This window comes from Homo sapiens, chromosome 17, assembly GCF_000001405.40.
Source record: "Homo sapiens chromosome 17, GRCh38.p14 Primary Assembly".
Lineage (NCBI taxonomy): Eukaryota > Metazoa > Chordata > Mammalia > Primates > Hominidae > Homo > Homo sapiens.
In genome coordinates, this window is record NC_000017.11 from 28408257 (window position 1) to 28424061 (window position 15805).

The 15805-nt window shown below is 45.1% G+C and overlaps 1 long non-coding RNA gene and 1 pseudogene across 1 annotated transcript, besides 1 other annotated feature; both read left to right on the forward strand.

Moving 5' to 3' along the window:
* Positions 111-951: an enhancer, noted in NCBI's record as "H3K27ac hESC enhancer chr17:26735385-26736225 (GRCh37/hg19 assembly coordinates)". NCBI's record gives its function as "activates a minimal SCP1, AML or CMV promoter by ChIP-STARR-seq in primed H9 embryonic stem cells {active_cell/tissue: H9 hESC(primed)}" and the evidence as "EXISTENCE:reporter gene assay evidence [ECO:0000049][PMID:30033119]".
* Positions 2446-5325, forward strand: LOC124903964 (uncharacterized). The gene is made up of 2 exons (XR_007065688.1): positions 2446-3055; positions 3169-5325. It is a non-coding gene; the product is annotated as an uncharacterized LOC124903964 (long non-coding RNA).
* On the forward strand, positions 8655-9233 carry H3P41 (H3 histone pseudogene 41; annotated as a pseudogene).

Genomic DNA, 15805 nt, shown 5'->3' on the forward strand with positions numbered 1-15805 from the left:
CATCCTGGGCTTTCCATTTCGCTCAGTGAGAGCCAAGTCCTTATGAGAGCCCTAAGGCCACCTACCTCTTCTCTGTCCCTCTCCCCTGCTTTGTCCCCCTCAATCCTTGTGCTCAAGCCATGCTGGCCTCCTGCTTTAGGGCCTTTACACTTGCGGTAACTACTACCTAGAATGCTCTTCTGGATATCTGCCTGGCCGGCTCCCTCACTTCCTTCAAGTCTCCACTAAAATGTCACCTGACCCTCCTATATAAGCAACTTCCCTCCTTCCTTGCTTCCTGGCACTCCCTAATCCTTTACCCTGTTTCATTTTTTTCCATAGTGTTTATCACCATCTGAATTATAACTTTCTGGTTTCTTTGTTGTCCATCTCCCTTTACTAGAGGTCATGATGGCAGGGACTTTGTTTTTTCATCACTACCATATCCCCAGCATCTAGAATAGTGCCTGGCGTGTGGTAGATGCTCAAAAGACGATCGCTGAATGAACTCTCAGTCTCAAGGAGAGGAGATTCCGCAGCTGGAGTCCCAGAGCATGTGGAGAGGGTTGCCAATGTTGAGCTGCACTGTGGAGTCCAGAGCCCAAGAATCTCCACCTAGAAGGAAGCTGAGAAATCACATCTCCACCCATCCAACCATTTAAAAGACAGGGAAACTGAGGTCCAGAGGGAAAGGTGACTTACCCAGAGAGAGCTAAAAAGTCCTGCCTGTCAAATTTCTACAGGAAAGGAGAAGCTATTGCAAAGGAAAAGATCTGTAGACTTATTTCCATCAGAACATAAAGCCTTAATTCAAAGGCAAATGACAAACAAAGTCATTTGTTTGTCATTAAAAGAAAGAAAAATCTTTCTTTTAAAATATGGCCGGGCGCAGTGACTCATGCCTGTAATCCCAGTACTTTGGGAGGCCGAGGCGGGTGGATCACCTGAGGTCAGGAGTTCAAGACCAGCCTCAACATGGAGAAACCCCATCTCTACTAAAAATACAAAATTAGCCGGGCGTGGTGGTACATGCCTGTAATCCCAGCTACTCGGGAGGCTAAGGCAGGAGAATTGCTTGAACCCGGGAGGTGGAGGTTACGGTGAGCCGAGATCATGCCATTGCACTCCAGCTTGGGCAACAAGAGCGAAACTCCATCTCAAAAAAATAAAATAAAATAAAATAAAATATGACAAAGGGTTACTATTTTAACTATATGTGATAATAACCTGAAGATCCCTCCCTCAGTAAACAGATAAAAACCAAGCACTGAGAGGTTGTAACACAGAACATGCATGTGAGACACACAAATGAGCTCTTCTCCAGCTTCTGAATAGTGAGAAAAACACTGTGCCTTTGATCTTGTTCTTTGCAGCCAACACATTAGCAATGATTTTGTTTAAAATGAGAATGCTCAAAGCTGGTAAGGCTACAGTGAAACAAATACTGCTGAAGGAGTGTAAATACACCCTTTCAGGAAAAAATTTGGTAGCCTTTAATCAAGACCCTTGAAGCCTCTAATTCTACATGTAGGTCTCTATCTAAAGGAAATAGTCTCAAGTACAGAAAAAAGCCTTATGTGCTAAGATATTCTCCCATAACATTATATTGACAAGAGTAAAAAAAAAAAAAAAAAGATAAACAACCTATGTGTCCAACAGTAGCGAAATGGCTGAGTAAATTATAGTCTATCCACTCCATGAATATGAGTCATTAAAATGATATGTTCAAAGAGATTATAATAATATGGAAAACTGCTTACATAATAATTTGTATGTAGAAAAAACAGAGAGCTTGTTTATGTGGTATGGTCATAGGCATAGAAAAGAATTGCACTGAGTAAAGACTGGAAACCATGGCACCAATATATTAACAGAAGTCCTCTCTGCGTGGTAGTAGGGTTAGGTAAGATTCTCTTTTCTTCTATTTAAAATGTTTTCAACCCTTCTGATATAAACAGATATAAACATATGTTTTAATCATGGAAAACATAAACATTTTAAAAATCTGATGATACTCCTCTCCTTCAAATGTATTCTGGCTCAATTGCCAAATATCAGCTTCATGCTCCTTGATGTTCTGGAGACATCACTAGGAGCTGACTTTTATTGAAGCAGGCAGCACCATACTGAGGGCATTACATACATTATCTTACTGAATCCTGACTACAGCCTTATGAGATAGGTATTACAATTTTTTTTTCTTTGAGATGGAGTTTCACTCTTGTTGCCCAGTCTGGAGTGCAATGGCGTGATCTCGGCTCACTGCAATCTCTGCCTCCCAGGTTCAAGCGATTCTCCTGCCTTGGCTTCCCAAGTAGCTGGGATTACAGGCATGTGCCGGGACACCTGGCTAATTTTGTATTTTTAGTAGAGACAGGGTTTCACCATGTTGGTCACGCTGGTGTCAAACTGCTGACCTCAAGTGATCCGCCCACCTCGGCCTCCCAAAGTGCTGGGATTACAGGTGTGAGCTACCGCGCCCGGCCAGGTATTATTATTTTTACAGATGATGTAACTACAGCATAGAGGGATGAAGGGAAATGGTTTTTCTCACTCTGGGTACAGGTTTTCTTTTCCTTACACCTACCTGTTCTAGTGCTTTCTGTTATTCTAAGCCTTAGTATATGTTAGTCTCTTTGCCAGTAATACCCTTCCTACTTTGCTTGGCCTATTCAGCTCCTTTTCATCCTTCAAAACCCACCTCTGTGTCTCACTTCTAGGCGGAATTAGTCATTGGCTAATATGTACTTCCACAATACTGGGTTCATACATTTAACCCTGGTTTTAAACTTAACCTGGTTATAAATATGTGTTCCCAGGTTTGTCTCCTCTTAACCCCTACCTATGTCCTGCCTCCAGATTTGAGGGCAGAGAAAATTTTTTTCACCTCTGTATTCCCTATCCCTGGGCTTGACATGCAATAAGATAAAATGTTAAATAACTTTGATGACATGCATCAACTCCAGTCAATTGATTGAATCTGTCTGGATTGCTACATTGAGATGGGCTATTTTTCCAGCTTTGTGGGAAGGAGTCCTGCGATTCATTCTTGATGTCTGCCATGGGCTTGGGAATGGTAAGTACTGGCACTAAAAACTGTGTTGTCCAACCCCAGGATATGTACTCAGTAAATTTTGAGAGGCTTTGGGGAAGTGCCTGGAAGTCATAAGGGTTTCTCTTTGCTTCCAGTTGGATAATGCCTACGAGAGGCTGTCTATACAACCACTGTGACAGAGAAGATTGCAACAGGGATTCTTCATCCAAACAGCAGTCTTATCACAGCCTCCACCCAAAACCTATGCCTCCTTTTTGCAAGAGGCCACTTACAGCTTCCAAAGAGCTCTTCATGATTTTAGACACTGAGAGGAAGGAAGGAGACAGCATGAGAGAAAAGCTATTTTCCTTTTTGAGATGTTGCTTCTCACATAGCAACCCTAAAAGTCAAAGCAGCATCCTTGTCACAACTAAGGGTGTTCCCAGCACTGAGTAGAAGCTGCAACTATGCCCCCATCGCTGTGAGACTTTGACCAAGTCCCTTTCTGGCTTCAATTTTCTCATCAATGAAATAATTTCTGGGCCTCTATTTCCTTGTCTGTGAAAAATGAAGTAATAATATCTACCTATGGGGTGGATGTTTGGGTCAAATGAGAAAATATGTATGGCTGTGAACTTTATGTGGCTGTGTCCAGGTGCCAGAGATGATGATTGCTGTTGAACTGGGCTTGAAGGTAGGAGGGATTTCACCAGAAAGAAGTGAGGCTGTCCCAAGTGAGAGGAAAAGTTGGGCCTTACAGAGGGATGCTACCCAGAATTCAGAGAAGTACAGGGCTAGAGGTGCATTAAGTGCATAAAGATGTCATTACCGCATGGGGGAGATTTCACAAAACACTTTCTGTCTTTGGCCTCCTGCCCTTGGTTTCATTTTAAACACTTTCCTTTTGCTAGAGCCTTTGCATCTATCCATCTATTCATTTAGCATCTACCGCCTGCCAGGCCCACTGCTAGGTGCTGAGGTTACAGACAAGAATTTACATAATTCCTTCCTTCTATGAGTCCTCAGGCTAGTGGGAAGCAGCACAACAAATCTCAAATAACAATAACAAAAGCATGCCGTAGGATGAATAATTTCAGAGAGAAGGTGTGTGTGTGTCATCAAGAGAAAGTCAAAGGATTCACAGAGGAGCTGAATTTTGAAGCATGAGATGGTAAAAAGGAGTCTCCAGGACAACAGAGAGAAGACATGATAAAGGGCTTTCTGTACAGTGGGAAAGGCAAGTTCTGAGAGACAGCAAGGACACCTATTTTGTTGGGGGTACTGAAGTCATCATAGGACACCCTGAAGGAAAATGAGCCAAGGCCTCATGTTCACAAAGCGTTTCAATTTTAGACATTCAGTCCCAGAGACTCACTCCCTAAATTGGTCTTTTAGTTGGAGTGTTTAGTCCAGTTACATTTAATGTAATTACTGATGTAGTTGTGGTTAAGTCTACCATCTTGCTAAATCTTTCCTTTAATTTAAAAATCTTTTTTTTGAGATAGTGTCTCACTATGTTTCCCAGGGTGGTCTTGACCTCCTGGCCTCAAGGAATCATCCCACCTCAGCCTCTCAAAGTGCTAGGATTATAGGCATGAGCCACAACACCCAGCCTTGCCAAATCTTTTCTTCTTTTCCTACCTGTTTTGTTTCTTTACTTCTCCTCTCTTATCTTTTGGGTGAATTATATTATTTCATTTCTGCCTTCTTCCCTTATGTCAAGGATTATAACCCCTTAAGTCCTGCCTGTATTAACTCCCCACCAATGCTTTCAAAGAAAGAAGAGCATACTTTACACAGTTTTGGCCGGAGGTGGTGGTTCACACCTGTAATTCCAGCAATTTGGGAGGCGGAGGCAGGCAGATCACTTGAGGCCAGGAGTTTGAGACCAGCCTGGCCAATATGGTGAAACATTGTCTGTACTAAAAATACAAAAATTAACCAGGCTTGGTGGCACGTGCCTGTAGACCCAGCTATTTGGGAGGCTGAGGCAGGAGAATTGCTTGAACCCAGGAGGCAGACATTGCAGTGAGCCGAGATCATGCCACTGCACTCCAATCTGGGCAACAGAGAGAGACTCTGTCTCAAAAAAAAAAAGTCACACAGTTTTAACTGGTGTCCCAATTTCTATAGTTCTCTATGAATATATTTACTCATGGGGACCCATGGGGCAAGAAAATATATGTGTGTATGTATAAATATATATGTATATATTAATTCTGTAATTATGCTGTGACTAATACAGCTAAGTAGCATTATATTGTGTGTTACAACGTGTTAATTTATTAAACATAAATATTTAAAATATGCTATGAAAGCCTGTCTTGGCAAGTCTTTATTTTTAGTTTCTCTGGATTCTCAAATAAGAAAAATGGCCCAGGTCTCTTGATCTCTGGGAGACCCTGCAGGAGCGCCTCCTGGCTGACACAGTTTGGGGGTGACATAGAGGGTAATGTCTAGGGATTCCATTTGGTCTCAGGAAGGATATCTTCTGGTCAGGCCCTCCCTCCAGTCCCAGGCTCAGAAGCCCAGCTGTGAAGCCCTGGAGCACCTGACTTTTTTTTAGTGCACCAGAGAACTAAACTCAAGCAAGACGGGGGTGCAAATCAGAAGGCTCTTTTCTAACACGGGGTTTCTATTCGTAGGCTGTAATGGCCACATCACTTATCTAGGGCTGCCTATTCCCAGTGCCAGGGAAATAGAAGATGGAAGCAGGGATCGGGAAGGTGCTAGGTGAGCCGCAAATCAGAGCCAAGGGACGGAGGATGATTTGCAGTAGGGAGAGCAGGCACAAGGAAAGCCACCGCTGAGAACTGCCCTCTAGGGACTGAAGTGTTGTGGCACTTCCTTGGTGGTGTTCCTGTACCATACTTTCCTATGCTGACCATGTACATACATTCTTTTTGTAGGTCTGTCAATAGTGCTGATCAGTAATAGTTAGTTTTTAGTTAGAGAACTGCTGTGTGCCAGCCACTTTACATATATGATCTCTTATCCTCATTATAATTCAGTGAGGTAAGTATTGTGATCCCTGCTTTATAGATGAGGAATTAGGTTATGTGGCTTGCCCAAAGACACACAGCTAAAGGGTAACAGAGCTGATATTCAGCCCATGTCTGTCTGACTCCAAAGCCTCCACACTTTGTACTCTCAATAGTTCACAGACATGTGACCCAGGGGTTGGATATGGCCCACAGATGTGTTTTGTTTGATTCACACTTGTTTTCAAAAAAATAATCGGCTCACATCGTGTATTTTAAATTTTGAATTAGTTGCCAACATCTAACAATTGGAAGATTCATATGAAAAATCCAGGTTTTTGCATTCCCTTGAAAATTCAGAAATGATGGCAACATTCACATCAGGCAATACCTTGCTGAAGTTGGGAAGGGACTGTCCCCTCCCTTTAGCTGTGGGATATGTTCTCCACTTCACCACTCCCCCACTACCCACCTCCACTCATAGAGGATGCCTGGTCCTATAGGTTTTCGAGCTTGCAGCCCCTTTCCTGTGCTGTGCTGCTGCCTGGGAAGAGGATCCCAGGTTTCTTAAAGGGCGTGGACCAAGGCTTTCTGAACATAAAGCGATGGAATCACTGTGACACAACACCAAGCTACTATTCCAAGCATCTGAAAAGCATTCTGTTTTCTCCCATTTTAGGCCGATTTAATTAGCGATAAGGAACACCTTAGTGGCCAGCCCACTACAATCTGGTACTGCTATACTTTATAGCCATGCGGAGACAGTGTGAGGCTGAAGAAGTCAAGAAGTCGGCAGGGGCCAGGTGATGCCTCTAAGGAATTCAGTTTGTTGGGTGTTTTTTGTTTTTGTTTTGGTTTTGTTTTTGTTTTTGTTTTGAGATGGAGTCTCTCTCTTTCGCCCAGGCTGGAGTGCAGTGGTGTGATCTCAGCTCACTGCAACGTCTGCCTCCCAGATTCAAGCGATTTTCCTGCCTCAGCCTCCCAAGTAGCTGGGACTATGGGCGCACACCACCACACCCAGCTAATTTTTGTATTTTTAGTAAAGGCAGGGTTTCACCATGTTGGCCAGGCTGGTCTCGAACTCCTGACCTCAAGTGATCCACCCGCCTTGGCCTCCCAAAGTGCCAGGATTACAGGTGTGAGCCACCGCGCCTCACCTTCAGGAGTTCAATTTGGATCTTACTGAGATTGAGGTGCCTGTGTGATGTCCTGGTGGAGGGGGCTCCAAAGGGCAGCTCTACCCAGAGCTAACAAGGATGGGCAGCGCTAGGAGCCATCGGCATATGTGTGATAGAGCCTGGGAGTAGCAGACCACCCTGAGAGGATATGACAAGGGACAGAGAGCCTAGGCAGGGGTCAGTAAGGAGCACAACCGTTTCGGGATGAAGGGAGGAAGATGGAGCAGGCAGAGAGGAAGAAGAGAAGCAGCAGAAGGGAGCATTAAACCAAAAGGAGAGAATTGCAGATGAGAGTGGTGACATGCCAGGTACTACAGAAAGAGGTCTAGGGAAACGTTGGCAATTGAAACTCAACAGTGGTCACCCCAGAAGTTTCAGCAGGTGAGATCTTTTTTTAAAAAAAGGAAAAAAATAGAAGTCAGATCACAATGGGTTAAGTCAGGATCAATTGTACATTTAATACTGAGGAATGAAGCAAAGGTGCCTCTTGATAAGGTAATCCTTAGAGACTCCAACAAGCAAGATGCAACACATTCTGGGATGAGAGTAGCTCTTCTCTCAAAGGTGGAACTGGGGTGCACTAGGGACAGGCAGGCCTAATCTTTATGGCCAGTGCAATCTCAGGGAAGCATATCTGAGGCTGAAACCCAGTCAGGGGTAGTGAGAAGGCAAAAGGTGCAACCCCGCCCAGGCCTAGCTGGTTAGGTGGATGACAGCAGCAGACGCACTCCCCAGGTGTTAACCTGTCCAGGTAGCCAGCTACCCTCCATGGGCCCAGAATTGATTTTTTCATGTTTAACTCCGATGCTCCTAAGCCCCCTGTGGTAGGCTAAACTGGCACAGCCTCACAGCCCTGCCTCACTTGAGGCTGTCCTGTGGTGCCTTCTCCGTTTTAGCTTTTCTTTTTGTCTTTTTTTTTTTTCCCCGAGACGGAGTCTTGCTCTGTCACCCAGGCTGGAGTGCAATAGCATGATCTCAGCTCACTGCAACCTCCACCTCCTGGGTTCAAGCGATTCTCCTGCCTCAGCCTCCCGAGTAGCCGGGATTACAGGCGCTTACCACCACGCCCAGCTAATTTTTTGTATTTTTAGTAGAGACAGGGTTTCACCATGTTGGCCAGGCTGGTCTCAAACTCCTGACCTTGTGATCCGCCCGCCTCAGCCTCCCAAAGTGCTGGGATTACAGGCATGAGCCACCACACCCGGCTCACTTTAGCTTTTTTTACGCAGTTATTTTGACATTTGGCTGACATTTGCCCTTATTTCATGAGAGTGAGTGGAAAAACGGAGAACACTGGGGCCGACTCTAGTGCTGATATCTTTCAGGTAAGGATAGGAAGTCAATTATGTTTGCAGCTGCAGCCATGCCACTGTTGCTCTCTAACCCTGAGCTTCCTCTAGCTCGCCGAGCTACAGCCCAAGGAGAAGGATAAAGGAGGACTCTATACAAGGAGAAGCGAGTGAGTAAGGAGGTCTCTATACCATGGCTGATACAAAGCCAATTGCCTGAAATTGACCTGTGGTAAAGCACCCAGGGAGCTACTGACTACAAAAGCCGCTTGCAAGAGTGCGCCCTCTACTGCAGAGATGAAGAAACCCTATCCTTACAGGCTTGCCACTGTGGCACTCCGGGAACGTAGACATGCTCAGAAGTCCACCAAACCTCTGATTGCAAACTTCCCTTCCAATGTCTGGTGTGAAAAGTTGCTCAGAACTTTAAAACAGATCTGTGTTGGCCGGGCACGGTGGGCTCACGTGCCCAGAGGCACATGCACCATTACAGGTGGCTGGTGCCTGTAATCCCAGCAGTTTGGGTGGATCACTTGAGGCCAGGAGTTTGAGACCAGCCTGGCCAACATGGTGAAAGCACGTCACAACAAACAAACAAACAAAAAACAGATCTGTGCTTCCAGAGCGCAGCTATTGGTGTTTTGCAGGAGGGAAGTGAGGCCTGTCTGTTTGGCCTTTTGAAGACACCGAGTTGTGTGCAACCCATGCCAAACGTGTAACAACTATGCCAAAAGACATCCAGCTAACACACTGCCTACGTAGAGAACGTGCTTAAGAATTAACTATGATGGGAAACACTTCATTCCCAAAATATTTTTCTCTTCTTCCTATTACTGGTAATTCTGAATGTCAGGTTTTTTTTCCCATAGGGTCTTAAGTATATGATTGAGAGTAGAAAAATAAGGGAGAGAAATCAATTGGCCGTTTTCCCATTTTCATCTGTGTATGAGTTTTTAGTATAAATGCAGGGAGGTAAAGCATCAATGCAAGTCAGAATGTTTCAGTGAACAAGTTTTAGCAGTACAACTTTATAATAATTATAAATAAACCTGTTGGCCAGGCACAGTGACTCATGCCTATAATCTTAACTCTTTGGGAGGCCGGGATGGGAGGATAGCTTGAGCCCAGGAGTTCGAGAGCAGCCTGGGCAACATGGTGAAACTCTGTCTCTACAAAAATTACAAAATTAGCTGGGCATGGTGGTTTATGCCTGTAGTCCCAGCTACTCGGGAGGCCAAGGCAAGAGAATTGCTTGAGCCCACGAGGTGGAGGTTGCAGTGAGCCAAGATCACACCACTGCACTCCAGCCTGGGCAACAGAGTGAGATTCCATCTCAAAAATAAAAATAAATAATAAAAATAAATTAAAACTAATTAATTAAATACGAAGAAATGGGAATGTGAAATCTCTAACATGGTGAATTAAGGATTTTTTGAAAGTCCACCTCAGGACTACTGGTGTGAACTAGAACACAGATGAACACCAACATAGGATTCTTCTAGGAGCCCTAATTCTCGACCTTGTTTGCAGTGGTAGTTTGCTGCTGCCAGTGTCTGGTCTTCCTTTCCAAGCCTTGTACCTTGTCCCTCTCCCTCCAGAGTATTTTTTTGTTTTTTGTTTTTTTCCCAGGCTGGAGTACAGTGGTGCAATCTCAGCTCACTGCAAGCTCCGCCTCCCAGGTTCATGCCATTCTCCTGCCTCAGCCTCCCCAGTAGCTGGGACTACAGGCACCCACCATCACGCCCAGCTAATTTTTTTGTATTTTTAGTAGAGATGGGGTTTCACCATGTTAGCCAGGATGGTCTCGATCTCCTGACCTCGTGATCCACCCCCCCTTGGCCTCCCGAAGTGCTGGGATTACAGGCGTGAGCCACAGCGCCTGGCCCAGAGTCTCTTTTTTTTGGAGACGGAGTCTGGCTCTGTCGCCCAGGCTGGAGTACGGTGGCTCGATCTCTGCTCACTGCAACCTCCACCTCCCAGGTTCAAGTGATTCTCCTGCCTCAGCCTCCCAAGTAGCTGGGATTACAGGTGCCCGTCACCACGCCCGGCTAATTTTTGTACTTTTAGTAGAGACGGGGTTTCACCATATTGGTTAGGCTGGTCTCAAACTCCTGACCTTGTGATCTGCCCGCCTCAGCCTCCCTAAGTGCTGGGATTACAAGCGTGAGCCACTGCTCCCAGTCCCAGAGTCTCTTACAGTGCTTTTTTTTTCCTTTTTTCTTTTCTTTTTTTTCTTTCTTTCTTTTTTTTTTTTGAGACGGAGCCTTGCTCTGTCACCCAGGCTTGAGTACAGTGGTGCCACCTTGGCTCACTGCAACCTCCGCCTTCCAGGTTCAAACAATTCTCCTGCCTCAGCCTCCCAAGTAGCTGGGATTACAGGCGCCTGCCACCACACCCAGCTAATTTTTGTATTTTTAGGAGAGACAGGGTTTCACCATGTTGGCCAGGCTAGTCTCGAACTCCTGACCTCAAGTGATCCGCCTGCCTCGGCCTCCCAAAGTGCTGGAATTACAGGCATGAGTCACTGCGCCTGGCCTCTTACAGTGTCTTTATGGCCTAATGAAGTATAAACGTGTGGATTGTGCATCCTCAGAGAGAGGAAGATGGACCTCTCATAAAAGCACATTATGGCCAGGTGCAGTGGCTCACACCTGTAGTCCCAGCTAATTGGGAGGCCAAGGTGGAAGGATCACTTGAGGCCAAGAGTTCAAGACCAGCCCGGGCAACACAGCAAGACCTCATCTTTAACTTAAGAAAAAGTTAGCCGAGCATAGTGGTTTGTGCCTGTAGTCCCAGCTACTCAGGAGGCTGAGATGAGAGGACCACTTGAGCCTGGGGAAGTGAAGTCGAGGCCACAGTGAGCCATGATCACACCACTGCGCTCCAGCCCGAGTGACAGAGAGACCCTGTTTCCAAAAAAAAAAAAAAAAAAGCGAGGAGCGCCTCTGCCCGGCCAGCCACCACATAGTCTGGGAAGTGAGGAGCGCCTCTCCCCGGCGGCCCAACAGCTTGGGAAGTGAGGAGTGCCTCTGCCTGGCCACCCCACCATCTGGGAAGTGAGGAGCGCCTCTGCGTGCAACCCTCCAAGTGTGAAGTGGCAGCCTTGTGTGTGGTCTTTCTGCCCTCCCCAAGTTTGCATTTTCGACATTAAAGTTTACTTTTAAATTAAAAAAAAAGTTCACTATGTCAGACGCTCTAAAAATGAACAACAGTGAACAAATACTCTGTCCTCGTTTTTCTTTTTGAATGTGTGTATCTGAATCTCCATTCAAATATATACTTTACCTGTTTGCTATTATAGACTTGAATCACTCTCCAGATGTGTAAGAATGTTAGTTGTGAGTGCAAGGATCACTCACAATCTGCCCTGGGGATCCTACAGGTTATGTGGCGAGAGCGGGCTGATCCCTATGAAATAAAGAGAACCGTAAAAACGGATGTGAGCAGTTATCCAGCTTCTGGATAGTGGAATATCCTCTCACTTTTCCCTGTATACATATTTTAGGAAACTGCAAGTCATATTACAAAAAAGAATTAACAACAAAGAAATATAAGTGACCCAAATGCAGCAAGAATAATAGCAGTAGCTAATGGTTAATGAGTATTTATGGAGTAAACATTGAAATATCTCAACTTATCCTTATAAAACCTTACATTCCCTATTTATAGAGGGGATACAGAGGCTTACAGAGATTGAGGGACTTATCAAGGGTACTGTGGCTAATTAAGAGTCAAAGACAGGACTGGAACCCCAGTCAGTCTGCATGGAAAGCCAGACTTCTCGCTCCTGCCCTCTGCTGCCTCCCAGGCGCGGAGAGCTGTTGGACAGCCAGCCCATTACCGAATCCTTTCTCAAGCAAAGAAAGCTGCGTTCACTTTCCTCTTGAAAATTTTCAAGTCACTAAAACTCATCAACACCCACATCACAATCTCCTACTCATCAATTGTCTACAAAATTCCTGCTGAAAAATCAGCATCAGGGTCTGAGCGCAGTGGCTCACACCTGTAATCCCAGGGTTTTGGGAGGCCGAGGTGGGAGGATCCCTTGAGCCCAAGAGTCCAAGGCTGCAATGATCATGCCACTGCACTGTAGCCTGGGTGACAGAGTGAGACCCTGTCTCTAAAAAAATGTTTTTAAATCAACATCAGCAAGTCCTTGTTCCCAACCTGAAAATAAATTTCTTCTGTCTCCTAAGATGAGAAAATGAGAATTGAGTGATAAGAAACTGCCCTAGAAACTTAAACTTTTATTGTTGCTACTGTTTACTCCATCTTTAACTTTTATTTATTTGTTTTGTTTTGTTTTGTTTTGTTTTGAGAGAGTCTCACTCTGTTGCCTAGGCTGAAGTGCAGTGGCACGATCTCGGCTCACTGCAACCTCCGCCTCCTGAGTTCAAGCAGTTCTCCTGCCTTAGCCTCCCCAGTAGCTGGGACTACAGGTGCATGCCACCACGCCTGGCTAATTTCTTTTAATATTTTTAGTAGAGACGGGGTTTCACCATGTTGGCCAGGCCGATCTCAAACTCCTGACCTCAAGTGATTCACCCGCCTCAGCCTCCCAAAGTGCTGGGATTACAGATGTGAACCACCAAGCCTGGCCTAACTTTTATGATTATTAAAAATTTTAGGCCAGGCTCAATGGTTCAAATCTGTAATCCCAGCACTTTGGGAGGCTGAGGTGGGCAGATCTCTTGAGCCCTGGAGTTCGAGACCAGCCTGGGCAACATGGTGAAACCTTGTCTCTACAAAAAAATACAAAAAAATTATCTGGGTGTAGTGGCGCACACCTGTAGTCCCAGCTACTTGGGAGGCTGATGTGGGAGCATTGTTTGAACCCAAGAGTTCTAGGTTGCAGTGAGCCGTGATTGTGCCACTGCACTCCAGCCTGAGCAACAGATCTAGACTCTGCCTCAAAAAAAGAAAAAAAAAATTCTAGCATACGCAAAATAGAGTCATGCAATGAGCCGTCATATATCATCACTTATGTTCAACAGTTATTATCAAAATATTGCTACAGATTAATCTATTTTTCCCTTTGCTCAAGTATTTTAAGACATGCCAAATGTCATGGTGTAGTGTCATTTCACTGCTACATACTTTAGCATGCATCTCTAAAATATTAATATATAGACATTTTCTTCCATAAACACAGTGCTGTTACCACACCTTAAAATTTAACAATTCTTTGACACGATCTGATACTGGGTACTCAATAACTGTTTCAACAAAACATCTTTTTATGACTGGTGTGTTTGAATTAGACTTCAAACAAGCCCACGTGTTGCATTCTAAGAGCACTTTAAGGCTCTTCAATCTCGCTCTCTCTCTTTTTTTTTTTTTCTTTTTGAGATGGAGTTTTGCTCCATTGCCCAGGCTGGAGTGAAGTGGCATGATCTCAGCTCACTGCAACCTCTGCCTCCCGGGTTCAAGTGATTCTCTTGCCACAGCCTCCCGAGTAGCTGGGATTATAGGTGTGTGCCACTATGCCCAGCTAATTTTTGTATTTTTTTTAATTTAATTTAATTTTTTTTCCTAGACGGAATCTCACTCTGTTGCCCAGGCTGGAGTGCAGTGGCGGATCTTGGTTCCTACAACCTCTGCCTCCTGGATTCAAGCAATTCTCCTGCCTCAACCTCCTGAGTAGCTGGGATTATAGGTGTGTGCCACCATGCCCAGCTGATTTTTTTGTATTTTCAGTAGAGACAGGGTTTTGCTGTGTTGGCCTGGCTGGTCTCGGACTCCTGGCCTCACTCAAGTGACCCGCCTGCCTCGGCCTCCCAAAGTGCTGGGATTACAGGCATAAGCTACTGCACCTGGCCCCTGTTTGCTTTTTAAAATAACATTGGCTTGTTATAGAAATAATCTGAAGATTTACTAAAAAATCATGTGCACACTGAATAATACTCAGTGTAAAAATTACTCATGAAATTTATATTATAAATAGGGATTTTATAGCATTTTTTGAGCTCTAAGAGTGGATTCCATCATATGATATGTAAATCTATTGCTCAACTTTTATATCCTTGACTTCCACAGTATATAAAAATAAAAGCACTGCCCATAGTAGAAAAATGTATCCACCAGAGTGGCCCGAAATAGGAGGCATCTGGGAAATGGAGATCAAAGGGAAAGAAAGAACTTGGTAGTTCATCCATTCCAGGGTAAATTACCTGGAATGGAATTTACCATTCTGGGTGATTTGCATGCAGTCAGGCAGGCACAAGCTTTCACTTCTACAGGCACCTCGGATTCAACAGCAGACAAGACAGTCCCTTGTGAGCAAGTTGCTCAAAGTTTTCATAAATATCCTTACAGATTCCCCGGCCACCCACCTGCACATCTTCATCTTTCTTCTCCTTTGGTGACCTCTGATGACCTTCTGGCCTCCAGGGCGCTTGATGGACTGGCACATGCATGCAGGTCCCTGGGAAGATCTATTCAGGCTTTTTAAAGTTTGATTCCCACTGAGAGTTAACACGTTGGTGTTTGGACCTGTCAGGCAGTCCCTTATGAGTTTGATTACTGTGTCTCAGCCTCTGAAAACCAAACACAGTCTAGCTGTCCTGACAAAGTAGCATTTGGGAGCCTAGACCTGGGTGTCCAAGGTTCTGCTGCCATAGACAGAATGGCTTTTTTACAAGACTAGTCACTCCCTCCACCCTCCAAACTCCACCAAAACATCTTATCCTGGTGAATGAGGCCTTCTGTGACCTCTTCTCTGCCTCCCCTCACCCTTATTCCACCACCTCAGTAGCTTTTTCATTGTCCTCATCCCTGTCCCCACTGTCACTTCACCATCCCAGACCCTCCTTGGACTATTCCAACTAACCCCTAACTTGTCTCATATATTCTACTCTATTTTATTTTTTTAACAGAGTCTTGCTCTGTTGCCCAGGCGTGCACTGGCAGGATCTTGATGTGCCCAGGCGTGCACTGACGTGATATGCAATGGCATGATCTTGGCTCCCTGCAACCTTTGCCTCCCAGGTTTAAGTGATTCTCATGCCTCAGCCTCCTGAGTAGCTGGGATTACAGGCATGTGCCACCACGCCCAGCTAATTTTTTGTATTTTTGGTAGAGATGGGGTTTCACCATGTTGGCCAGGCTGGTCTCAAACTCCTGACCTCAAGTGATCCACCCACACGGGCCTCCCAAAATGCTGAGATTACAGACATGAGCCACTGTGCCTGGTCTTGTCTCATATATTCCAGACTTGCTCTGCTTCCAAATCTTTCTCCATGGTAATCTATTAAAATGCATCTCGTTTTCTTACTCCGCTACTTAAAAACCTTCGATCGTTCCCTTGGCATGATATCTGAGGCCCTTTCCGGTCTGGTGCCAGCT